The sequence below is a fragment of the Homo sapiens genome, chromosome 9 (assembly GCF_000001405.40).
Source record: "Homo sapiens chromosome 9, GRCh38.p14 Primary Assembly".
Lineage (NCBI taxonomy): Eukaryota > Metazoa > Chordata > Mammalia > Primates > Hominidae > Homo > Homo sapiens.
Genome location: NC_000009.12, coordinates 7184963 through 7211717, shown reverse-complemented (window position 1 = coordinate 7211717; position 26755 = coordinate 7184963). Strand labels below are relative to the sequence as shown.

At 42.7% G+C, this 26755-nt stretch overlaps 1 long non-coding RNA gene across 1 annotated transcript, besides 1 other annotated feature; it reads right to left on the bottom strand.

Moving 5' to 3' along the window:
* Positions 1–1212: 1212 nt before the first annotated feature.
* Positions 1213–9382, bottom strand: LOC105375969 (uncharacterized). Its single transcript, XR_007061413.1, has 3 exons — positions 8771–9382; positions 6112–6730; positions 1213–2801 (listed from the first exon to the last, which is right to left on the bottom strand). It is a non-coding gene; the product is annotated as an uncharacterized LOC105375969 (long non-coding RNA).
* Positions 25605–26120: an enhancer, noted in NCBI's record as "NANOG hESC enhancer chr9:7185598-7186113 (GRCh37/hg19 assembly coordinates)". NCBI's record gives its function as "activates a minimal SCP1, AML or CMV promoter by ChIP-STARR-seq in primed H9 embryonic stem cells {active_cell/tissue: H9 hESC(primed)}" and the evidence as "EXISTENCE:reporter gene assay evidence [ECO:0000049][PMID:30033119]".

Below are 26755 nucleotides of genomic sequence, written 5' to 3'. Positions count from 1 at the left end.
GTTCACAATTCCTGCATCGTGTAGGGAATCTTTCTTGAGAACACTTTCTAGCAAACACTCACATGCCTGGGAAAATGCAGACTCCTGAAACTCACCCATGAAGATCCTACATCAGTGGCTCTGGGCTGGGCCTGGGCCTGGGCCTGGGAATATGCACTTTTAACAAACCCTCCAGGTAGTTTGTTTTGGTGGGTCCCATCATGATCCTCAGAACCCACCCACCTGTCCCTATGGGGCCAATCCCTGGGTCTGGCTGGTAGGAGTTCATTTCCTCCCAACAGAAAAGGCCTGAGGCAGGGGAAGACTATGGAATGGCGGAAGGGCTGAATACCAGAAAAGGTCAGGGAAAGAGCTGATAGAAGTTTGAGAGCCAAACTTTGGACAATTCGCAGTTTTGCCTCTTCCAGCAGGAGATGGTCAGGAGAGTGCTGAGGGTTAACTTGGGTGAGGAACCGAGGGAACAGACAGCAGCATTCACAGAAGAAAGTACTTTCAAAAAAAACCATTGTGCAAATCCCAGACACCAGCCATAGGCCCTGAAATTCTAGTTTAAAGCAATTCAGTTCCTGTTCCATTCAGCAGGCCGATGAATTGCAGGCATTTGCACTTCTGTGGTACCTTTCAAGCCACAGCCTCAAAGCTCCTTTCAAACACAAATCTGTTCAGCCTCATAACCTCTCTGAGAGATTCTGCAAAGGGATAGTGGGATCACTTCCCTCCCTACCTCAAGGGCAGCCTTTTGGGAGGTGGGAGGCAGGAGGCAGTAGCCGTTTAACAGTCACTTAACCAGGCGTCTTGACAGCTCAAACGGTGGAGAAGGAGCCACTTGGGATCAGCCGTTTCTGGGACACTTAGTCTGAGGCATGCCATTACAGAAATACCTGGATATTCACCTCTGCCTTTTTGGCTTTAGCTTCTTCCTTGTTTAGCCTGAATAGTGTCTGGTGATTTGGCAGACACTGAAAGTTGCCTACCTAATATCTTGCTTCCGTGTAATAGAACCTCAACTTTTTTCTGGGTCAGAACAGCCTCAGGGGGCAGACCATGATTCTTTTAAGCCAAATAAGCAATCCTCTTCCATCTTTCCCAGCCTTCCTTCAGCTATAGGTGACCATATCATCTAGGCTTGGCCAATGAAATGGAATTGAAAATATGCTGGGAAGTATTTGCCAGAATTTGCTACACTACAGTATTGTAACTCTGATATTTCAGTAGTTTTACACAATAAAGATTTATTTTTCTTTCACATTATAATTGTAATTCAATCAGTGGGGAAAGTGTTTCACACTCGTCTAGGAACCCAGACTAATGAAGTCTCCATCATGTTATAACAGAACCATCTAGAACCCATGGTCTCCAAGGTCTCCATGGAAAAGCCTGAAAAGATACTCCTCCTTCAGTCCTCGAAGATGCTCTCCTTGTAGGCTCCTGCCAATCATTCCAGTCACAAATGGGTTGCTCTCTCATCTGAGCTGTAATTTGATATGTCAGGAGTGTGAAGAACAATTAACCACTGGCGTATTGCATAACTTCAAAAGTCTCTTGAGATAAAATGTATGCAAATGATAGTGTCTATTATTATGCCTGATAACAATTCTTTAATTCTGACTTAAAAGAGGAGAGGTTCTGAGACATGTTGCATTTGATCCAATGAAATATTCAAACTAACTTTATATCACTCGGGTGGTAATTTATCTTCTCTGCCTGGAGCAGAAAGAGGTTTCAGTGCAGTATTCATGGATTTATATCGTCTCTCACAAATTGGTTTCTTTTGATTGGAGCATGGGTGTTCAAAACTGTGCAGTCCTTGTCAGCATGAGGTTGCTCTGGGCATAAAGCAAGCAGTGCAGGGGATCCTTGGAGATGAAGGTTGTCACCTCTCCACCAGCTATGTGGCCACGTTAGAAGTCACAGCTCACAGAATGGAAGCCATTTCTTGATTTTAATAATATGCAATGAGAGAAGAGGTTAGAGAGAGGAGAAAAGGGATAGACAATAAATGGACAAGCTAATGGCACAGATGGTTGTGAGAGTGCAGTCAGTTAACAAGTAATGCTTGTACTTTTAGAGGATGGACTCCTCTTTGCTAAAACTACTGTCTAGGAGTCTTCCATCCCTCATTACCTTCCCTTGGATATCTCTGCTTTGCCCAGATTTGCTGTCGGCCAAGCTGTCTCCAGAAACGGAGACTCTGCCAAAGCCAGACAAAGAAAAAAGGCAAGCGAGAGTGTGGGACCTGGTGGGATAACGGCTGTTTTATTCGACTAAGGAGGGAACTGTGTTAATAAACGCCTGTGACACTTAATGATGTGGCTTTCATTTTGAACACATCATTGCTTGATATTGAATCCATCCATTTTGATAATAAACACCACACCATGGAACTCTCGCTTTTTGCCCATAAATAAATAAATAATAGGCACGCGATGCAGGAACTTCCTTTGCACACTGGGAACGAGTGGGGGCTGCAGCTCCCTGCATGCGTTTGCATCTTATGAACTCTATTCAGCCGCATGGCCTCCCATTCGTCTCTCTGGAAATCCAATTTCCCTTTTGCAGGTTCATCTGCCAGTTTTCTAATTTTCACATCAAACTGCATATTACTCATTGTCAGGCTGGTTGTTCTGGAAGAATCGTTAGAATCTTAAACCCTTTACCAGTGCTTTCGGTTTAGCCTCAGACAGTTACTGGGCTTCATGTTTTCCAAAAGATTACTGCCACCACCCCCCTCCAAAAAAAATCTCAAACTTTCAAACCTGCATTCTCTTGGTCCAGGCCAGAGCCAGTGAGAATAACACTTTCTGAAAGATAAATCCAAAATTTTTAATACAACAAAATGGCCCTCCCCACTTATCAAGGAATGTGTGATTCATTTCTCTATTCCCAGCACTTAGCACACAATACATCTTCAATAAATCATTGATGGAAAAAATGAGTAAACAATTACATGAATGGTATGCTGTATATATACTCACTTCTGCAAGATTACATGAATATAGTACACATATATCAAATCGAACTTCATTGCCTATAGTATACATTCATTTTTGTTTAACCCATTTATACTAACAAAAATTATCTTTCTCTTTTTGTTTTAAAAAGATCAGTAATTATTCTTTAAAGAGTAGCTCTATTTGATATAATTAATTTGAATGTCAAAAAGTTGATCCTTATTATGTTACCAGGCTCAGATTCTTCTCAGATCAACAGCTTCCAAATCTATACATTTGGTTCTGGGTTTCTTGCTTATTTTCACATGTCCAAATTCTCAGGATGATAGAAGGATCTAACATGCATTTCTTCTGTAAGGCTGGGATGCATCATGGAAAGGAATCTTTTGGACCCACTGCAGCCAGAGAATGAAGAGGTTCTGCTAGAAATCCATCTCCCTGGGGGTCATTTGGAGACTAGCATGGTACTATCTTACTTGAAGACCATGCTGGTCTCCAAATGTGTGGCATCGCTGCTCTGTTCAGAGAATAGGGTAGGCAGCTATAGGAACCTACCTTTCTAGAAGCCCTGCTCCATGGACTTTTATCTAGAAATTTCCCCCAGACTGTTCAAGGTGCTCCCCAGGTATAAGCTCTAAAGAACTGGAGAAAAGATTGCCTTTTCCTTACAGTTTTCTAAAGATGAGCTTTAAAGGAAGTGCTTCATTCTTTATTAGAATCAAACCTCAAAAGCCAAAGGTTCATGTTCACAGCAGCCAAATGCAATTCCTGTCCCTGAATCCTGTACTGGATGGGAGAAAAAAATCCTACAAAGGACATCCACTGGAATGTGGATGGTAGAATAGATAAAAGTATTGTATCAATATTAACTTTACTAAAGTTGAAAACTATACTTGGTTATGAAAGAAAATATCCCAATTGTTAAAAAACCTGTACATATACATGAAGTATTTATAAATACAGGCTTTGAGGTATGTAACTTAGCTTTAAAGGATTAAAAACATTACATGTAATAAATATGAAATAAAATATAAATATTTTATATACATATGTAAGAAAAGAATGAGCACAAATGATAAAGCAAAAAGCATAAAAGGTTAGCAATAGGTGAATCTGGTAAAGAGTATAACATATTTTTGGTACTATCTTATTCTTTTAATTTTTTTATGTTTAAAATTATTTCTAAATAAAACATTTAGGGCCAGGCAAGGTGGCTGATGCCTTTAATCCCAGCACTTTGGGAGGTCAAGGCAGGAGGATGGCTTCAGCCCAAGAGTTCGAGGCCAGCCTGGGAAACATAACGAGATCTTGTCTCTACAAAAAATGTAAAAAGGGGATGGGAGGATGGCCTGAGCCCAGGAGGTCGAGGCTCCAATGAGCCATGATCATGCTACTGCACTCCTGCCGGGGCAACAGAAGTGAAACCCTGCCTCAAAAAATAAAATGTTTATAATAAATATTTGAAGCCCATTACCATAGACAAAATCAAGCTGGACCCTGTAAACATAACCAGGCTAGGACCAAGCTGGTGATAAAAAGGGGAAATAAATCTTCCATCAGAGCAGAAGATGGCAAACTTTTGTCTGTAAAGGGCCAGATAGTAAATATTTTAGGTTTTATGGGCCAGAAAGGCTCTGTCACAACTACTTGACTGCCATAGTATTGCTAAAGCAGACTTGGAGAGTTTGTAAGTGAATGGGCATGACCATGTTCCAATATAACTTTATTTATAAAAACAAGCCCAAAGGCCATAGTTTGCCAACCTCTGACTTCAATAATTGGGATCCTATTTGCCCCCATTCATTTGGGTCCCTTAGAGGGACGTTCTCTCTACCTGCTTCCCTGTGGCAGGCTCTATCTTTAACCCCTGCCACTCTGGAGCACCATTGCCACTGTCTTCACAGTGACTGACAGCAGGGATATAGACTACCTTTAGGAGAAGTCACAAAGTGAAGCCCTCTCACCCCATGGGCAACCACAGTATATCTATGAGAACACAGATGACAATTTTCACATTCACGCAAGAAACAGACCAGAATGTCATTTCAAATGCCAGTCTAGACATGAAGGGGGAAAGTCACTCCTCTATATGCACACAGGAAAACCTGCTCCTCAGAAATCACAGTCTCGAACAGTGAATGCGTGAATGTGCTGCTTTATTTAAAGAAAAGAAAAAGAGGCTGGGTGCAGTGACTCACGCCTGTAACCACAGCACTTTGGGAGGCTGAGGCAGGTGGATCACTTGAGGTCAAGAGTTTGAGACCAGCCTGACCAACATGGTGAAACCCACCCCATCTCTACTAAAAATACAAAAGCTAGCCAGGCATGGTGGTGCATGCCTCAGGAGAATCACTTGAGCCTGGGAGGCAGACGTCACAGCGAACCAAGATTACACCACTTCACTCCAGGCTGGGAGACAGAACAAAACCCTGTCTCATAGAAAAAAAGAAAAAAAAAAGCAAAAGTTCCTACTTGGGTTCATTGTCCTATCTGAAAATGACCACATATGATGGATACATCAAGACAGGGACAGTAAAAGAAACAAGGAGACAGGGGTAGGGATGGAGTGTGGAGAAGGGAGAGGAGGAGAAGAGAGAAAAATTCAGAGGGAACCCTTAGAATTCCTTTGCTGCTGCAACATTTGTCGCTGGCTCTTACCCTCCCTATCCCCCAGCTGGTCCCCTTGGTTCTCTCGCAGGCATCTGGCTTCTACCCTTATCACACTTACTGTGTGTGCTCACTTACTGTCTCAACACATTTACTGTGCTGTGCTATAGATTCCTGTGGAGAAGTCAACACACCTTCCAACCACAAGCTGTTGGAAGCCCCCAGAGAGGGACATAGACTTGAAGGAGCTCAGCCAAATCCCACCGATAACACAGAGCCCACCACTCACCCCAGCTCTGTGTGAGGGTATGTCCTGTCCCAGGGCGCTTCTTCAGGCTAATGGTGCCTGCCAAGAGCCCCAGGACTGCTTCTATAGAGGCCATTTTATTTGAAAGGTAATGGAGCCCTCGGCAATGCGAAAAACAAACAAGCAAAAAGATGGGAGCATCTAGTGTGACTGACTCCAGAGGCGAGAGGAAGAAAGTGGAAGAAGGAAGGCAGAAGTGTGACACTTGGCAGCTGTCTCCAGCCTTGTCCCCTCATTCTTTCTTACCTTTGTCTTTTGAAGTCTACCACATAGAATTAGGAGAGCACCTACTGTGGGCTTGGCAGATACAGTGTTGAATGGAACAGATGCGGCCCTGCCTCCTGGTGCTTACATCTGGTGTGGGATCCCAACAGTAAACAGGCAATCGCATTAGAGCAAGTAGAGTTCTCAAGCTGGGAGTGCATCAGAATCTTCTAGAGGGCTTGTTAAAGCACAGATATCTTGCGGAACCCCCCCCCCCCACACACACACACACAACAGTTTCTGATTCAGAGGATGTGGGTGGAGCCAGAGAATCTGCATTTCTGTGAAATGTCCAGGTAGGTGATACTGATGCTGCTGGAGGATGACACTTTGAGAGCTGCCACACTCTAGCATTGTTAGTGTTATGAAGGTGGAAGTACGGGACCCAATGGGAGCAGGTAAAGGGGCATCCCATCCAGACTTAAGGCCCGACTTCAGCCAGTATACTTTGAGTGCATCTCAAATCTTCTGCCAGGAATCTCATGCTCTTTCTGCAGGATGTGAATCTGGAAGGATAGCACCTTGGTAGCTGCTGGCAGCCACTTTCCAACCTGAGGAAAGAAGCTGATTGGGAATGCACTTAACAGAGGAGAATGTGAGCCTGAAGATGAGAAAAAACAGAAGTCAATACGTCCCTGCACCCGGCTGCTCCTAAAGCCAATCTGCCTCTGGATTTTCAATTATATAAGCCATAAATTCCCCTTTGGCTTAAACAAGTTTGGAAAGTCTTCCAATAACGGCAACAAATAATATTCTGACTGATATTCACCCACTTGCCAAACAGCCTGAAAGTCTACCATTAGTGATCCAGCCCTTAGCATTTCTACGTCCTCACACATTCATCTAAGGCAGGGGTCAGCATACTACAGTCTTTGGGCCAAGTCTGGACCACCACCTGTTTTTACAACATGTTACTGAAACAGCCACATTCCCCAATTTACGTACTGTCTATGGCTGCTTTTGTGCAAAAATGACACAACTGAACAGCTTGGACAGAGACTGTAGGTCTACAAAGCCTAAAAGGTTTACTATCCAGCTCTTTATACACAGGCAATGTTTGCGGATGCCCAGTCTGAGAAGTCCTTCTGAAGTCCTGTTCAGTGCAATACTTTTTTGTTGTTGTTGTCATTTTTTGTTGTTGTTGCCCAGGCTGGAGTGCAGTGGCGCGATCTCGGCTCATTGCAACCTCCACCTCCTGGGTTCAGGGGATTTTCCTGCCTCAGCCTCCCGAGTAGCTGAGATTACAGGCCCACACTACCACACCTGGCTAATTTTTGTATTTTTTAGTAGAGATAGGGTTTCGCCATGTTGGCCAGGTTGGTTTCAAACTCCTGACCTCAGGTGATCCACCCGCCTTGGCCTCCCAAACTGTTGGGATTACAGGCGTGAGCCACCGCACCCTGTCCAATGCAGTACTGTAGATTTATCCTACCTGTTTAAATTTAGCCCCTCTTGTCTCACACTCTGAAGAAGGGCTGGAGGACAATAAAATGTGGACAAAATTGGTTCCTGAGAGTGACTGGAAACCTCGTTAAAAATGAGTGCCCAACCTCAGTTGTGGGCTAATTCAACAGCTGTCCTTCTTTTCAAGTTTCTTAGAAAACTAAGCACACTTTTACTATATGACCTAGCAATCATGCTCCTTGGTATTTACTCAAGGGAGTTAAAAACTTATATTCACACAAAAACCTGCTCATGGATGTTTATAGCAGCAGCTTTATTCATAATTGCCAAAACTTGAAAGCAACCAAGATGCCCTTCAGTAGGTGAGTAGATAAATGAACTGTGGTACATCCAGACAATGGAATATTATTTGGCACTAAAAAGAAATAAGCTATCAAGCCATGAAATACATGGAAGAACCTTAGATGCATATTAATGAATGAAAGAAGCCAATCTGAAAAGGCTACATACTGTATGATTTCATATGTATGACATTTTGGAAAAGGCAAAACTATGGAGACAGTAAAAAGATCAGTGATTGCCATGGGGTTAAGGGGGAGGGAGGGACAAATAGAACACAGAGGACTTTCAGGGCAGTGAGACTACTCTGTATGTTACTGTAATGATGGACACATCATTATACTTTTATACAAACCCAAAGAATTTAGATGTACCAAGAGTAAATGCTAATGTAAAGTATGGACTTTAGGTAATCATGATGTGTCGATGAAGATTCACCAATTGGAACAAACGTACCACTGAGGTGAGGGATGTGGATAATTGAGGAGGCTATGCATGTGTTGGGGCAGAGGGTTTGTGGAAAACCTCTGTATCTTCCATTCAATTTTGCTATGACCCTAAAACTACTCTAAAAATGAAGTTTATTAAAAAGAAGAAGAAGAAGGTATGGTGGCCAATGATGTGGTGATGACAATCCGCAGCCTGTCTACCTCCTGTGCCTCAGTGCTTGGGTCCGGATGCTCGTCCTCCCTACCCGGGGCTGGGCTATGTACCAGACATCTCCCTTCACCCTCACCCTGGAGGTTAACTCCGCCTCTGTCTGTGCTAACCTCCCATTTTCTTATCCCTGTATAATTTATATAATAGAACACTTTAGAAGTATCTCTGCTCACTTGAATGCTAATCATTCTCGGAAGCCCAATATTATAAAGCAGAGCTGAGTGGCCCACTTTCTCACCCTAAAAGAAAATTGGAATTCAAGAACCTATCATTTCCAGTTGTTTCTTCATAGATACAGGACTGCTGATTCCCTTGTTTTGATGACACACATCCTCCAGTAGCTTCCCAAGAACTTGTGTGTTGTTCTGAGTCTTCTGAGGGCTCTGTAGTTTAGATCAGGACGTTCTTGGCTTTCTCCATTTCAGGATTAAGATTCAGGTTTCTTGCACCTGCTAAAGTAATTTAACAGTCATTCTACTTTTCAGCTTCCAAAATGTATTGCCATTGTCTTTTTGCCTTTTCTTCCCATCCTTATGGATTTCTATCTTTTAAAAAAGATAATTTCTTTGCTATAGCTTTAGTAGGATTTTAAGAGGGAGGGGAGTTATAAGAGTGTCAAATCCATCATCATTACCATCCTATAGCCTTTTTATACACCAATTTTCTGATTTAGCATATAAAACTAATACTTAACCCTTAAAGCTATGAATTAAATTTGTAAGTTCAGCAAATCTTAATATTTTTACATGTTCCAATACTATTTATAAATTGACTTCAACTTAAATAACAAGTTTAAATAATTACTGAAGTATGCATATGAAATTAAAATTACTACACCAGCCCTTATTCTAACAGGCTAAAATTATTTTATGTTTTAGAAATGATAAAATATTAAACATGTACAGATCCTTAATGCAAAAACATAAATAATTTATATTTGGTTTTCTTAAAAAATTCTACTCAATTCTAAATCTGAGGTGAAAGATGCTAATTTATATAATCCCAAACAATTTTGGGATATCTTCCCAAATATTTTTGTATTTACCATCCCCTCTTGCAATGATTTATTAATTACCAAAGAGACTCCTTGTGGGATGATGACTGAATTTTTGTCACAACACGGATGGAACACGTGGATCCCCATGTGTCTATAGTAGGGACTGTTTCCCAATTCTTTCATCTCTCCAGGCAAATTAGCCATACTTACCTACACTACTATATTAATTGATTGGATTTTACATTTTTTGGCTTTCAAAGGATATAAATTGTTTTTATGTGTATTCTTGAAAAACCTTTGAACTGTAGGGACTCCTACAATCTTTTTATCTACTCCCTATTAAAGCTAAGCCTCTTCCAGGTAATAAAATGACTTTCAATTACTCTCTTGATCTTCTTGGTTGCAACTTCTAGGCTTATTCTGCAGACATAATTAAAGGCAAAAACTAGAGGAGCTAAGGCAAAAATCAAGATGCAATATAAAGCAAAGAGTCTGAAGAGATTTGATCTCTGTTGATCCTTTCACACATAATCCCCAGGGGCTCTATTACCAAATGTAAAATGTGCTTGGCCAGGCTGTGAATCCACTGGGGATTCACCCTGGAGGAACATGGAAGCACCCAAGGGGAGGAGAATGTACCTGTCTAATTGTAGAGCTGTGGCTCAATATAGACTAAATGTGTTCATGGAGCTAAACAGAGGGAAAATGGAAACTACTTCTCATGTCATCATCACGTGGGCCTTAAAGAAGCCCGATGGAAAATAGCTTTATGGATGGATGGAGACGAGCAAGCTTGCCAAGACTGACTGTCAATAGTAAGAATGTGCTGGTGATGTCTGCTGGAAGATTGAAGCCCCGCGGTGACACTGACACTACTTATTTTATGTACTGTGGAAAAGAAAAAGAGCTTGGAAAACTAGCTTCAGTTTCTGTACTGTGAGTCAGTTTATGGAGTTGCTCAAAGTTATGACTATGAAACAATCAAATCCAGAAGAAGTTCTACGAGGGACAACTCATCTTCAGTAACATCATTTGCTTCTATCTGTGTCCGCTCTTCTTCCAAGCTGCCGGTAACTGCAACACCTTTAATATGTATGTCTTCTCCATGTCATGCTTTTTATTTTCTCACAATTTTGGTTTATCCCAACGACAGCTGGTTAAAGAGCCTTCTTGTTTTAGGAGATACATACTTGCAGCCTCAGATCTTCTCCATTTCAAATTCCTGAGGACACAAACATCACTGCGCTGCTCTTTTCAGATGGGGCAGAGTTCCTCTTATACAACACCACCTCAAGGACCAATGTTTTCACTGCCCTTGGACCAGGACCCCACTCCTGGTCCAACCAGCTGTTGCGGGGCGGGAGCATTAATGCTGGGTTGAAACCTGGTGCTAAGGTCGGGAAATTCGTTTTAGAAAAGGCATGGATATTATAGACACCATGATGGACATTTCTGGTACATGTGGCTTGGAGGCTAAGGACAGGCAAACTCATTTCCTTGATCCTCTTGCCTTTTCTTCAGGAAGAGAATTCAAAAGGCTAAGGGACAGAGTGCCTGGGAGTGCCTCCAGGTGAACCAGAAACAAAGACTTCTTTATCTGCCTTTAATTATTCCTAAGGAGAGACATTTGGGGTTCAAAGTTTGGGAAGAATAATCTTTTGGGTTTGAAGACTCTTGACTAATGAAAGACCTTTGGCCACTGACCATCTTTTTCCTTCTTTTTGCTACTCTCATGTTGGAGGGCTAGGGATGTTTCTGTTTGGAATGCCTCTGGAAATCCTAAAGGAATAAAGATAGGCCAGAGGATGGGGGAAGGGAGCTGCCTGCTTGAGGCTTGCTCCAGTTTCATTTATTTGTTTACTTACTTATTTACTCACTTTTTAGAGACAGGTCTTGCTCTGTTGTTCAGGCTGGAGTGCAGTAGTGCAATCACAGCTCACTGCAGCCTCCAATTCCTGGGCTCAAGTGATCCTCCCACCTCAGCCTCCCAAGAAGCTAGGAATACAGGCACATGTCATCACACACAACTAATTTTTGTATTTTTTATGGAGATGGGGGTCTCAATCTGTTGCTTAGGCTGGCCTAGAACTCCTGAGCTCAAGCAATCCTCCTACCTCAGCCTCCCAAAGCACTGGGATTACATGCATGAGACACTGTGCCCAACAATTGTTCTAGTTTTAAACAAGAGAGGGGAAGCAGGACCTTCAGATTTCACTCTAAATTAAAATTACTGAGCCTTCCTTGGTGAGAAGGTAGCAGGATTCAAGCCGGAAGTATTGCCAGGATTGAAAATTGAGACATTTGGCTGAGACATTCCTTGGTGGGCTCTCTGGGAAGCCAGCAGGTGAGCAATGAAGTACATCATTGTGATGGACATGAACATGACTTCCGACCAAGATAAATATCACCATAAATCTATGACTAGCCAATCTGTCCTCTGCTGTTTGAGCTAAAGGATAGCATGATGAGATTGGAGCCTTGTCCTGTTCCACTGCCACCCAGGTCTCTGGCCCAAGGTAAGGATGTTCTCCTGGCTCTGGGCACTTGGCCCAGGTGGGCACACTGGGCTTCTGACAGGCTCCCTTCAGCTTTTCTTCCTTCCAGCAGACCCAAAAGATCCAGTTTCACTTGCTCCCGGTGGCCCCAGTCATTCTTTTACCTGGGTTTTCTCCATTTCCAGACCCAGTGAAAAGTAAAGAACAGGATACCTCCCTCCTCTTCCTGCCCATCCAGCCCATTTTCCTGCCACAATCCACAAGCAAACATATAGGGATTCAGATGTCTTCAGAGATCTTAGATTGTATTAATGATGGGTCTCCCTTGAGGTGTGATGGCTTCTCCTTTACTAACTCACTACCCTGCACTGTCCTGGGCATTGGGCCAGCCCAGCAGTTCCCTTCTCCATCAGGGAAGGACACCGGGGGATGAATATGAGGTTCATCCTCAAGGCTTAGGGGCCTTTATTTACATGTCAGTGATAATAAAAATAAAATAATAAAATATAAATAATAAAAATATAATAAGAGGAGAAGAGGGAGTACTGTTTACTGAAGGCTTGCTCTCAGACAGGTGCCATGCCAAGCTTTGACATACATATTTTATTTAAGCCTCACAACAGCCCAATGAACTAGATAGAATCTCCATTTTAAAGAGAGACAGAGATGGTAATAAGTTTGCCCAAGGTTACACAATGAGTAGAGGCAGAATTCAATCTCAGGTTTATCTGACTCCAAAATACTTTTGTCTCTGTGAAAATAATATATTCATTTTATTAAAATATCCATGCCTAAAGGAAAGAATAAAGAAGACAGTGAAGAATCATATGTAATTCCATTGCTCAGATATAATCACCATCAACATTTGGGTATTTCTTTTTAGACCTTTTCCCTCTATGCATCCACATAGAAATACACATACACCAAGCACATATTCATTCATATGTCAAATAATTTTTGAATATATACTATGTTGTGGGTACTACCCTACAGGCTGGAGTACTCCAAGTCCCGACCTTGAAGAGCTTACATTCTAGTGGGGAAGTCAGAAAATAAGCAAATAAGCCAGGCTGGGTGCAGTGGCTCATGCCTGTAATCCCAGCACTTTGGGAGGCCGAGGTGGGAGGATCACTTGAGGTCAGAAATTCAAGACCAGCCTGACCAACATGGTGAAACCCCATCTCTTCTAAAAATACAAAAATGAGCCAGTCATGTTGGTGGGTGCCTGTAATCCCAGCTACTTGGGAGGCTGAGGTGGGAGAATCACTTGAACCCAGGAGGCAGAGGCTGCAGTGAGCTGTGATCATGCCACTGCACTACAGCTTGGGCAACAGAGCGAGACTCTGTCAAGAAAGAAAAGAAAAGAAAAGAAAGAGGGAAAGAGAGAGAGAGAAAGAAAGAGAGAAAGGAAAGAAAGAAAGAAAGGAAAGAAAGAAAGAAAGAGAAAGAAAGAAAGAAAGAAAGAGAAAGAAAGAAAGAAAGAAAGAAAGAAAGAAAGAAAGAAAGAAAGAAAGAAAGGAAAAGAAAAGAAAGAAAAAATAAATAAGCAAATAACCAAACAAATTTGTATTATAATGTATGTTATCAGGTCTGGCTATACAGTTGTGCACTGAAGAACTCTAGGGAGAGCCAATCACACTGCAGTTAAAGTGAATGAGATCCCCAGGAATTGGGCAGTGCACAACCTATACCACACATAATGGGTAATCATATGAGACATAAAGCAGAATAAGGAGAAATATTATTTTATGAATAGGAGATTGGAAAATCCCTCTTTGATTAGGAAATATTCGAGAGTTAAGAAAGTGAGAGAGCAAACTCAGAGGAATCTGAGAGAAGAGACTTTCAAGTGGGGAAATAGCAAATGCAAAAATCCTAAGGCAAGGATGTTCCGGGCGTGATTGGGGAACAGCAAAGAAGCTAGTGGGGGTGGAGGGCAGTGAGTGAGAGGAAAAGGGTGGGATCAGAGAGGTAGTGGGGGCCAGATCATAGGGCCTCGTGGACATGGTAAGAACTTTGGAATTTATTTTTTGTCTTAGAAGTCACTGGTGAGTTGTGAGCAGAGATGAACATCTTCAGAATGAGTCTGGCTGCTGTATAGAGAACACAGTGGGGAGGTGGAGAGGCCAGGTAGAATCAGAGAGTGATACCAAGTGGTAGCTTAGACTAAGCTGAGAGCTGTGGAGTGATAAGAAGGAGGAAATGTTTTAGGCTGTTGCTAACAAAGCAGATCTCAGGTAGTATCAGCAAAATTGCCTACGCATCACTGTAGAATGTGAGAGAAACAGGGAACTCGGGGTGACCCGCGTGGACAGGAGGACGTTATGAGACTTGGAGCACAGAAGGGGCACGCCTGGGGAAAAACAAAAATTCCATTTGGGGAACTTAAGTGTGAGATGCCTGTTAAGCAGCCAAGCAGAGATGTGTTGAGACTGGAGACAGCGTTTTGGAATTTGCACTGTATAGGTGTTTAAAACCATGGGCCAGATGAGACCTCCTACAGAGAGTATAAAAAAGAGAAAAGGTCTGAGGACTGAGTCCTGGAGCAAAGCTACATTAAAAAGTAAGGGAAATGAGGAGAATCCGGCAAAACCATCTAAGAAAGGACAGCCAAAGAAGCAAGAGGAAAAGCAGGAGGGTTTGATGTCCCGGAAACCAAACAAAGGAAGGATTATAAGCAGGAGAGAATGATTAGCTACAACAAAGGCTGCTGGAAGATCAAGTACGAAGCGTGGAAACTGACCATCTAATGGGCTATGTTGATCCAAGTTTGGCATTGATGACTTCACAAGAGTAGTTTGGATGGAATAGTAGGAAGAAAAACACAATCGAAGTGAGTTTAGGAGAAAATGCGCAGGAAGGAAATAGAGGCAAAAACAAATAACTGTTACCAAAAGTTTTGCTGTGAAGGGAAGAAAAGGTGACATGGTAACTGGTAGGAGATGGGAGTCAAGGGAAGTTTCATATTTCATTTTAGTTTTTTGAATGAGTCATATTATGACAAGTTTTTAAGGTGGTGGTAACCATCCAGAAGAGAAGGGGGATGTGATTATGATGGTTCCATGCCCTAAGAGGAGGAGGAATGAGTAGAGTCTTGTATACAAGTTGAGCAATATGTCTTTGCTAGAATAATGGTCACTTATTAATTACAATAAAAGGGAACATATAAATATGTGTAATGGGCATATACTATATATACTACCTTAATGTCTACTTTTTAATTGGCTATCTTATTATAATATTACTTCACAAATAAAGTTAGATCAATACCACATGGTCTCACAGTATTTCAGAGCATGCATCTTCCATAATTTATTTAATCAGTCTCCTCTTATTGGACATTTTGGTTGTTTTTAGTTGTTCACTGATACAGAGAATGAAAAGCCAGCCTCTTGGACTCTGGTACCCTGACTGTGTGCTTCTTGCAGAAGTCATCCTGAGCTAGTCAATATGGGGCTGCCCCTGCCCAAGCTTAATCCCCCCTCTAAGGTTGGAACCCTGATCTACATTCAAGACGCAGAGCACAGATGGGAAGGATCACTTGATCCCCTGCTAATCATGCCACTTGTTCCAACCTCAGCCTCTACCAGCCAGAGGGATGTGCCCACTCTGTGCTGGGTAGGGCACAGGAGAGTTGAAATAGACATTGCTTCTTCCTACTTTGCAACTCAAAAGAGCTAAAAAAAATCTGTAAAGTGCCATGGGGCCATATTCTCTAGCCCTGGAGTTTGAGAATGTTCTAGATCTAATTATATTAAATGTTTTCTTTTAAGAAACATTTTTAGAGATAGAAAAACTGAAAGCACAAAAAACCAAATAGCATGCTCTAAATTTCCCGGCAAAAAAATAAAAAAAACAAGCTGAGAATCCCACTCAGATCTGTCTAACGCTAAAGCACTCTTATCTCCCCACTTTCCATTGCACTCTGTGTTTCACAAAGCCCTGCTCTCCATCACTGCACAGGCTTCCCAGGCTTCCCAAGCACAGCAAGGCAACCCCCTCCTGGGAACAGAGTTCACCCTGAGCCAAGGCCTCAGGGCTTCTTAGAGTCCAGGGTAGGCCCTTCCAGCTTTATCTCCAATGTCTCCTTCCTATGCTCTGCAAAGCCACACAGGCCACTTCCTAGTCCCATTCCCAGTGTATCCTGCAATCTCCTGCTCCTTTCCTTTCCTTCTGCCCTTTCTATGTCCAATGCCCTTCCTTAGCTCCAAATTTTGTTCTACTCACTCTTCAAGTTCTGGCTCATATGCCACCTCCTCCAGAAGATTCACCCAGTGTTATTGGGTTTGCCCACCTCAAAACTCCTACAGCACTTTATCTGTCCCCATCTCATGAGCTTAACACTTACTATCTTGTTTGGAGGTCATTTCCACATATATCACATATTTTCTCCCCTAACTTCATCAGACTAGAAGCTACTTGAGGAAAGGGATTATGTCTAAATTATCTAAGTAATGCCTCCTGTACCTGGCCCAGTACCTGGCACAAAGTAGGCCCTTGTTATACGTTTGAAGGGTGGATAAATGGATGGATGGATGGATGGATGGATGGATGGATGGATGAATGGATGGATGCATGGATAGATAGATGTAGGGATAGATGCATGGATGCATGGATGGAAGGATGGATGGATGGATAGATGGATGGATGGATGGATGGATGGATGGATGGATGCATGGATGGATGGATGGATGGATGCATGGATAGATAGATGCAGGGATAGATGCATGGATGCATGGATGGAAGGATGGATGGATGGATAGATGGATGGATGGATGGATGGATGGATGGATGGATGGATAGATAGATGCAGTGATAGATGCATGGATGCATGGATGGAAGGATGGATAGATGGATGCATGGATGGAAGGATGGATAGATGGATGGATGCATGGATGGATGGATGGATGCATGGATGGATGCATGCATTTCCTACCTATTCCTGGCTTGATAACTTTTTTGGATGAGTTTATTTTGTTTTATTTAAATTCTAGAGCCTGTCCTTACTGACATGATTATGTAGAGCTCTCCCTAGTGCCTCAAAATCCCCCAATACATGTCTTTCTTCCAATCCTGTTGTTAGTTGCCTAGAAGCTCCAACCGTGCTCCATCTCATCTGCTTAAAGACATTACTCTAGGTTTTTCCTGATTACCTGACTCTTAGCTGAAAAGTAAGGTAATAGGCACTTATAATATAGTCTTGCCAGGAGCATCTGCATTTTAATAGGACACTCCAAAGGCAAAAAGTACAGGTTTCTAGTAAAGGTATTTTAGACACCATGATAGGAGGTGGACAGAAACCTGCCTAATTGCCTATTCTCTTACTGGTAAGGGTGGTCCTGTGGCCAGGCTTCCTGTGACTGAGTAGGAATTAACACGAGGAGTCCACATCATTTCCTTTCGCCCCTACCTTGACCCAGGAACTGAGAGCAGAACATCTCATGGTTATTGTCTCAACTGATAGACACCTTTGGCCATGCCAGACACTTTGGCAGGCACTAACTTGGGGGATGCAGAGATCACAGTGCCCAAGAGTAGCTCTTCTCAAGGGTTAAAGTGCACTAGCAAATCTGCAAGCTAGAGACCCTGGGCCAAGGGGGAGGAGGGAGAAGGAAATGCACTAGCAAGGCCTAGCCCACGCTCTGGATGTCTGAAAGCCAAGAGCAGGGATAGGGGTGCTTTCCACAGATGCACCAGGAGGCAGGCAGCCACCAATCTGCCCTTCTGGGCCCTCTCCCCAGGAGCAGGACATCAAGGGCATGTAGGAGGGTTCCCTGAGCTTAGGAAGGGCAAAGCAAGCAGGTTGGGTCACTGCTACCCCAGCAGCATAGCCCCAGCCTCTCTCCAGGGAAGTAGCCCCCTCTACCTAAGCCAGGCTGATCTTCCTAGTGTCCTACTCTAGAGATGTGTTGGCAGCAGTCAGGAAGCCAAGAGGAATCTTTTGAGCACCTGCTCTGCACTGATCCCTGGGATCAGCAAGGCTATAAAAGAAGGACTCATTCATGGAGGAACCAAGGGGTAATGAACAGAAGCATGGGACTTGGGACTGAACTAAGTTCCACCATTACCAGCTGTGTAGCTTTGATCAAAACATCCACTTTTTATCAGGCTTCACTTGGCATAAAATTATAATGAAATAGTACTTATTTAATTGATTGGGGAATAAGAAATGTAAGGCACCCAGCACAATGCCTCACTCACAGTATGAGTTCAAGTAATGTTAGCAGTTGTCAAGGAGATTCCAGTCTGGCTGGTCTGTACATTAGAAATGATATTCAGGCAATGTACAGGAGAGAGAAGCAGCATTCCTAACACATATATACCACCAGCACACCCCACTTTCGGATCCATAACCCTACCATTGCCAACAAGAGCTGGCACCAGCCACTGGATGCCCTGCTGTTCTTCTGGCCTGGCATCCAAGACCCTCCAAAGCATGTTCTGGTCTTAATTTCAATCTTCATCTTTATCCACTTCCTTCAAACCCCTGACATTCTGGCCAGGCCCAATCACTACCCCTACTCTTATTGTTCCTGTCCCTGAGTCCTTGTGGGCTAATTATGCTGACTATGCTGTCACGAGTGTCAACATCCTCTCGATCACTCAAGCCTAAATTAAAAAGCCATTTTTGCCTGGGCACAGTGGCTCACACCTATAATTCCAGCATTTTGGGAGGCCAAGGTGGGTGGATCACTTGAGGTCGGGAGTTCAAGACCAGCCCAGCCTAGGCAACATGGTGAAAACTCATCTCTATTAAAAATACAAAAATTAGCCAGGTGTGGTGGTGCATGCCTGTAATCCCTGCTACTCGAGAGGCTGAGGCAGGAGAATCACTTGAACCGGGGAGGCGGAGATTGCAGTGAGCTGAGATCACACCACTGCACTCCAACTTGGGCAACAGAGTAAGACTCTGTCTCAAAAATAAATAAAATTAATTTAAAATTAAAAATTTCTTTTTAAAAAAAGCCCTTTTCTCCAGGAAGTCTCCCTAGCCTCCAAACTGGAATAAAACTTAACCTCCTCTTAGCTCCCACAGCAGTTTTAAGGTTTGTGACTCCAGAATGCTCTGTATTTTCTCAAGTCCCCCTTTGAAGTGCAAGCAAATCAAAGGCATAAGGACTTTCTGCCAAGTTTAGAATGCCCTGGATGTAACAATACACTAAGAAGGGACACAGGGCACAATTAAGCCACTCCTGCTTTTTATTCACCAGACCCAGAACGCCCCAGCTGCCACGCTCCATTCCCAAGACAGCAGCCTCATGCTGCCTTCAGCAGCTAGTTCTAAGGTACCTGTGGCTCTCCGTCCCTTCTCAGTCCCTGGGGAAACAGAGCTCTCTCTGTCTGAACCTTAGATCAATTGCTTTCCTGGCAGCCTTGAGATATTCCGGTTATTCTCATATTCATAGAATGTTCCTCTCAACTTTTCTGCTTTGTGTGGCTTTAAAACGTTCCCAATATCTGCTTCATTTTGCTGTTCACGCAAGTCTTCATGTTTCTCAGATTTTAAAAACATATTCTCTATCTTTGATACTAGCCAGACATCCTTGGGCACTTCTCTGATCATGCCCCCCATGCAGGCTACTGGCTCTCAACGTTAACCCCTGCAAAGCTCTCTGCCTTGGGCTTTCATCAAAGGAAACCACAGGAAACCCACCCACCCTTATACTTGCTGTAGCAAAATCATTGAGGGCCCTGTCATCTAGACCATTGAATGTCTGCTATAAAAGCCACCCATGTGAGACATTTCTTTGAGAATTTACTGCTTAGAAAAGCTCTTCCTTCTCCCCTGAGGAATGTTCCATAATTCTCTCTGATCATGAGGATTATGTAACAGTTCATGCCCCAGTTTTGGTTTTTAGCTGCCAAGAAGCTAAAGAAGGCCTTGTTAAAGAAACTTAGCTTACTGTTCAATTCTTATGCTCCTTCCTCTAGATTTCTAGATTTCTAGGACAATTCAGCCTGGTCTGCTTGGGTCCTTTGATTATTCCACCTGGGGTGTGGGTTCAACCTGCTGCCTCTGTCACTGGTGGGTCTTTAGTCATCCCAGGAGGATGTTACACACACAAACCTTCCCATCCTCTAGACCTCCTTATTCCTAGACCTTTTTGTCTTGTGTTCTATTTTTCTGGAATGCAGCTTGGGAACTTAGGGAGTCCTAATATTTGAGGTGGGAGTAAAAAGAAAGAATTGGTAAGTTAGTTCCCTTTTCTCCTTTTTAAATAAAAACTGGTTTTATTTTTATCAAATATATACATGACTATAATGTAGAAACAATTTTTCACCTGTTTTAGTTGATTCTTTTAGTGTTACTTTAAATAATTTTCATACAGATTATTTCTATTTATATTCAGCTATTTCTTGGCTTTTCATTTTAAGAAGTACTTATTGACTTACCACTATGGAACATAAGGATGTAAATCCCGTTTGCCACCATCATAATCACCAGCTCTCATCACCATCACACCACTTCTCAACTCCCCTATTCTCAGTAAGTCATATAGAAACTTTGATTCAAGCAATATTTATGTTATTATGATTACAAAAGTGCTATAGCTGAGCCATGTAGTATACTACAATTTCTTTTCCAGAACAACTTTTTGTCCTTCCTGAATTTAATATCTTTTAATATCTTCACTGTTTGTTTTTTCATTTGCTTGCTTTTATGTTCTGACCACTAATTTAACCTCAAGTCTGCCCTCCAGTTGTGTCTCTCTCTTCTCAATAACTTCAAGGACAGTAAATATTCTATTGCTTTCCTCTTCTAGATGAAATCTCTCCCAAAGCATTTTGACCTGTTTGAATATGGACTGGTTTATCTCTAAGTCCACTACACAGCAGCAGTAAAAAGCCCTACTAGCCAAAGGAGAAAACTGTTATCTGAACCTGATAAGAGATGTATCTGCGGGAAAAGGGTCACCCAGTAGGAGTCATGGTCGTAGGTAGGATGCATCTTCTGCCAAACTGAAGTCCAGAAGGGATGAACATGAGCAATAAATATTACAACCTTAGTTTCTTCCTGCTGATCTCCTGCCCACATCTCTATTGGCCAAACCCAATGGTAAATCCACAAGCAAGGCAGCTCAGATAATGTAGTCCGTAGATATTAGTCTCCTGAAGCACAGAGAAGGATAGAGACTAGAACTGAAGAATAACTAGCAAATCATGTCTTTCTATTTTTGGTTTGTTATTTCAGAATACACATTCACTGGTAACTTTCTGAGAAAGGGCACATAAGAGGTAAATTACTTAAGTCTTTATAAATGCAAAAAATATCTTTCTACCTCAAGCTAAATTGATAGTTTGGCTGGATATAGAATTCAAGGTTGGAAGTAATTTTGCCTGTATATGCAAACTCATCTTCTACATTTTCTTGTGCCTTCTCTTGCATTTCTTTGTCATTGTTTTTATGCCTTTTAAATAATCATTTTACTATAATTTTAACTAAGCTTTAGGGTGGAGACAGAGGTAAATGGATGTATTCGTTGCTTCCATCTTCATCTAAGAGTCCAGTAATTGCTTCTTGAGGGTGGGATCAAACAAACGCATACAGTTTAAATAAACTTGTCTCACTCATGCACATTTGTTTACATGGGACAGAATCAGAGGAGACATTCACACCGTGTTAACTGTTTCATTGGATTCATTACAGATGTTTCAATAGAACACTAATAGGACTACTTTCCTTAGAGTTTTTGTAATAAAAGGATTACTTTCCTTAGAGTTTTATGTTACATATTTGAGTAATATTTTCAGTTCTCAAAGCACTTTTTCCTGTTTATTTTCATTTGTCCTTGAAATGACTCAATGAAGTAGACATGGTAGGTGTTACTATCCCACTTACAGATAACCTGAAGCTCAAAGAGGTTGAATCATTTATCCAACTTAGTGGCAGAGACAAGGCTCAAACCTAGGTCTTGAATGCCAAGGTTGGTGCCTTTCCTATGGTCCATGCTTTCTGCAAAGGCGATATTTATGTTTTTATAAACCACTCAGAATGGCAATCAAAGTGGTTTTGGATTCATTTTCCACAGAGTGCCCACATTGGCTCATGACAGTATTTGGACCATCTGTGGAAGACTAAAGAATCATAAGATCTCTCGACTCCAACTGTAAGAGATTCTGATTTATAAGGTCTGAAGTGCAGACCAAGAATATCTATTCTGTTTTTTGTTTGTTTGTTTTTTGAGATGGAGTTTTGCTCTTGTTTCCCAGGCTGGACTGCAATTGCACGATCTCGGCTCACTGCAACCTCTGCCTCCCGCGTTCAAGCAATTCTCCTGCCTCAGCCTCCCAAGTAGCTGGGATTACAGGCATGCACCACTCCACCCAGCTAATTTTGTATTGTTAGTAGAGATGGGGTTTCACCATGTTGGTCAGGCTGGTCTCAAACTCCTGACCTCAGGTGACCCACCCGCCTCAGCCTCCCAAATTGCTGGGATTACAGGTGTGAGCCACCGTACCTGGCCAAGAATATCTATTTTTAAATAGCTTTCTAGGTGATATTAGAATGTAGCTTGATTGAAAACTGCCCCCCTAAAAGGCCTGGAAGTGGTCTGGAGGGTCCCACAGGCTTCAAGGCATGGGTAAGTGAATGGCAGTTCCCAGAATGTAACCATTTAACCTTTCAGACAGCAGCCATCCCAGCCTGCCACAGTCTAAGCTAACAGCTTCATCTCTTCCACTCCTTCCCAAGGACCTCATCAGACCTCACTTCTGCCCTCATTTCCCGGCCCTGCCCACTCACACAATGGAGACTCCCTTGCCAGCTCCCTCGGCTCCTCTATTTTAGCTTGTAAGACTTCAGGGACTCAGCTTCCTGAAAATACTAAAGTGAAACATTCCCTCCCTAATAACTTAGGACCTCTTATGGAACTTAGTTCTCTAAGGAGCCAGAAGGGAAGAGTAAGAAAGCACTCTGCTCAGTCTCTGACTGGTGGCCACAGAAATGTTATCCCAGGCTCTCAGGTGGTCTCCTAGCTGGGAAATATAAAATCCAAATAGCTTTAGGTCAGAGATGGAGCACCTTGGCATCAAAATGCAAGTAACTACATATGAAGGCCTCATGGTACACAGTGGAGGAAGCCAATTTTCTAGAACCTGAAGGTCCCTGAGCTGAAGAAGCTCAAAGAATGACAGAGAGAAAGAGAAGAGGGCTGTACAACAAGAGTTTCAGTGCTTTATTTACCAATGAGAGTATGAGAAGACTGAGCCTATTCGGAGAACCAATGGGAACAACCACCACAGTAACTTAGCAAAAGATACAGAAAACCTCCAGGAAAGAATTTCTGTAAGGCAGGGGCTGGTGCCTGAGCTTATACACAGTAACTCAGCCATTGGAGAAGAGGGATGATTTTGCATATTCTCTAATGTCCTTACCCTTGAACCCTAAGGTGTGCCCCAGTGATATGGTCTAGCTGCGTTCCTACTCAAATCGCATCTTGAATTCCCATGTGTTGTGGGAGGGACCTGGTGGGAGGTAATCGAATCATGGGGGTGGGTCTTTCTCATGCTGTTCTCATGATAGTGAATAAGTCTCATGAGATCTGATGGTTTAATACAGGGGAGTTTCCCTGCACAAGCTCTCTCTTTGCCTGCTGCCATCCGTGTAAGACGTGACTTGCTCCTCCTTGCCTTCCACCATGATTGTGAGGCTTCCCCAGCCATGTGGAACTGTAAGTCCATTAAACCTCTTTCTTTTGGAAATTGTCCAGTCTTGGGTGTGACTTTATCAGCAGCGTGAAAAAAGACTAACACGCCCAGGGTAGCTACCACTTCCAGAGTCCTCTTTTAAGGTGTCTCTTCCACATAAGTCATCTTGCTCTTAACACAAGACCCCAAGCCCCTAGCCCAGAAAATGGCCTGGAGTAGGAATGTAATCCAAGGGTAGTCAATAGAGGCTAAAGCAGAATGTGAGGTAGCCTGGAACAGGAATTCTTAGACAACCAGCAGTGGCTCATGCCTGTAATCTCAGCACTTTGGGAGGCTGAGGTAAGAATAGCCTGAGCTCAAGAGTTCAACACCAGCCTGGGCAACATAGCAAGACCTCATCTCTACTAAAAATAAAAAGTCAAAATTAGCCAAGCATGGTGGCATGCACCTGTAATCCCAGCTACTTGGGTGGCTGAGGCAGGTGGATCACTAGAGTCTGCAGTGAGCCATGATCATACCAGTGCACTCCAGCCTGGGCAACAGAGTAAAACCTTGTAGGAAAAAAAAAAAAAAGAGGTCTCAAATAGGGGAGGCCAACTAAGCAAGCCAATCTGATTCCTAAATAAATTAACTTATTTAAAAAATATTTATTGAGCACCAACTATGTTTAGACATTTAAAAAATCTTATTTAATAAATGCTTCTACTGCATGTACTCTGTGCCAGACACTAATTCATGTGCTTTATGAATATTAATTCATTTAATTCTCATAACAGCTCTGTAAGTTAACTACTATTATTATATCTTTTTAAGGTAAAGAAAACTAAAGGTGCAGAGAGCCTAAGTAACTTGCCCCAAGGTGTATCAATTAATCAATTAATTATTGAGTGGTAGAGACACACTTTTATGTATTAGGGATAGATCAATAAGCAAAAGAGACAAAACTCTGTGCCCTCCTCATACTGATAATTTTTGGTTTGAATGTTTAAAGAGAGAGTCAGTTGAGTGGCACTGGGAGCAGAAGCTAAAAAAAAAAAAAAAAAAAAAAAACCAATGTGAAAGCTGACAGGGAGGCCATGTGGCAGCAGAGTGTTCAAAAGGAAGGTGAGGGAGGTGACTGCAGATGATAGAAAAGTTAAAGGCCAGTGAACTGAGGGTGAGGGCCCAGTAGGAGAAGCAAGTCACATGAAGACCTGCCTGTTGCCAGCAATGTCATGTTCATGAGGCCCAGATTCTTCCTAGAGCCCCTAAGGTCCAGGTATGCAGCCGAGTTTTTTATCCTCTTATTCTTACAATAAGACCACCAGTACTGAATATGAGTAATTTTTGTTCTTCGTATTCTTAAGAGCCTCCAACATTCAGTCCTCTGGTGCCCTAATCCCTTATGAAACTAAGAACTGCACAAAGACAAACCCTAAAAGCCAGCATGCACAAAAAATCTCCTTGAAAGGTTAAAAGCATGAAATTGCACTGTTTTGGGATAAGCATGACCATGGAGAGAGGCACAAAGGTGGGATGACAATCACTCCTGCTTCAGAGAAGTGCAGGGCTTCTTGCAGATAATGCCCTTGGGAATCAGCCTCAGTTAACACCAACTCAACAGAAACAGTGGCAGAAGTTCTAGACCTGCAATTTTCCACTTCAACCAGCAGGCGGTGCAGCAGCACATCACTGCAACATATGCATTAAACAGTGGCCTTGTTACATTGGTTTCTGGGTGTAACATGGGGTAGCTTCAGCATCATCAACAGGGCTGAAAAGAAAGGCCCTCTCCCTCCACCTGGAGGACATCAACAGCTGAGAAAGCTGACATTTGTGAAGTGACATTGGGGAAGAAACAGAGCAAAATGGCAGTCACATGTGGAAACTGAGGGTTTTATGAGCACATCTGAGATGCCCCATGGGAACTCTCAGAAACAATCTGGAAGCATTTGATAGGAGACTGGACATACTGCAATAGCATCTTGTAGTTAAAACAAAAATAATGGTTTGTGTTTTCCCTGAGAACCCATTTAAACCTTCAGATTGATGTGCTGTGGGTGAACATGAATAATTCTTTGATTTTCCTTTGTCTCACCTCAGTTGATGCTGTGCTGCATGGGGAAGGCTGTGTTATTAAAGCTGAGCCAAATCACACTGATCCTCATTCTCACCTCTGCTGTGTCTCAGGAAGCCACATTCCAGATCAGTGAGTCAACTTGATGCTGGTAGGGAACACTCAGCAGGGAGCTTCAGCAATTCCAGTGCAAGTCAGAAAGAGTATTTGGCAAGGGCTGGCTCATTGGAATGTGGTCCATTAGGCAGGGGAGTTGGCCATGGTCAGAATCATAAGACCATCAGAACTGGAAACTTCCACAGGAATTGGCTTTCCCTCACATCACAGACAAGGGAACTGATGAGATCTCATGTGTCCATTGCAGGAATTTCACACAATCATACCCTTCCCCCATATCAATATTTACCAGCTCCTGCTACTCTCCCCAAGAAGAGGGCCAACCTTCCCAGTGCCCTAAACAAACTGGCTTTCTCCTCTCATCCCTTTCCTTCACTAGTATGTTCGGGGCAATACTTGGGAAAGCTTATTTTTGACCAGAAATTCCAGCCTAACTTAATGAGCTATCTGGTCTTCAGCATGGCAAGGTCCCAAGAAGTTGCAAGATTGATGATGGTGATGATGATGAACAGCAATAATGACAGTAGCAACATCCACTTTTTGAGCTGGGCACTATACTAAATACTTTATATACATTCCCTCACTGAATGTTCACCACTCTTCAGAAATAAGTATTATTCTCAAAGTACCAATAGAGACACTGAGGTTCAAAAGTCAAGATATACACTCCAAGTTGCCAACTTATTAAGTAGTAAAGGGAAGATTTGTACCCATATCTGCCTGACTCTGAAGCTCATCTCTCCTCATCTCTTGTTAGATGCGATTCAACATCTACCTTCTCATTTCAGGAAGGAAAGGGAGATCAGGTGTGCAGGAGGCTGAACATACTGCCCTAGAAGGCCATTTCTACCTTCGTTCTCTGTAACTGGTTCCCAATGGCCAGGTCCATCTGCCTCCTACCTTCTTAGA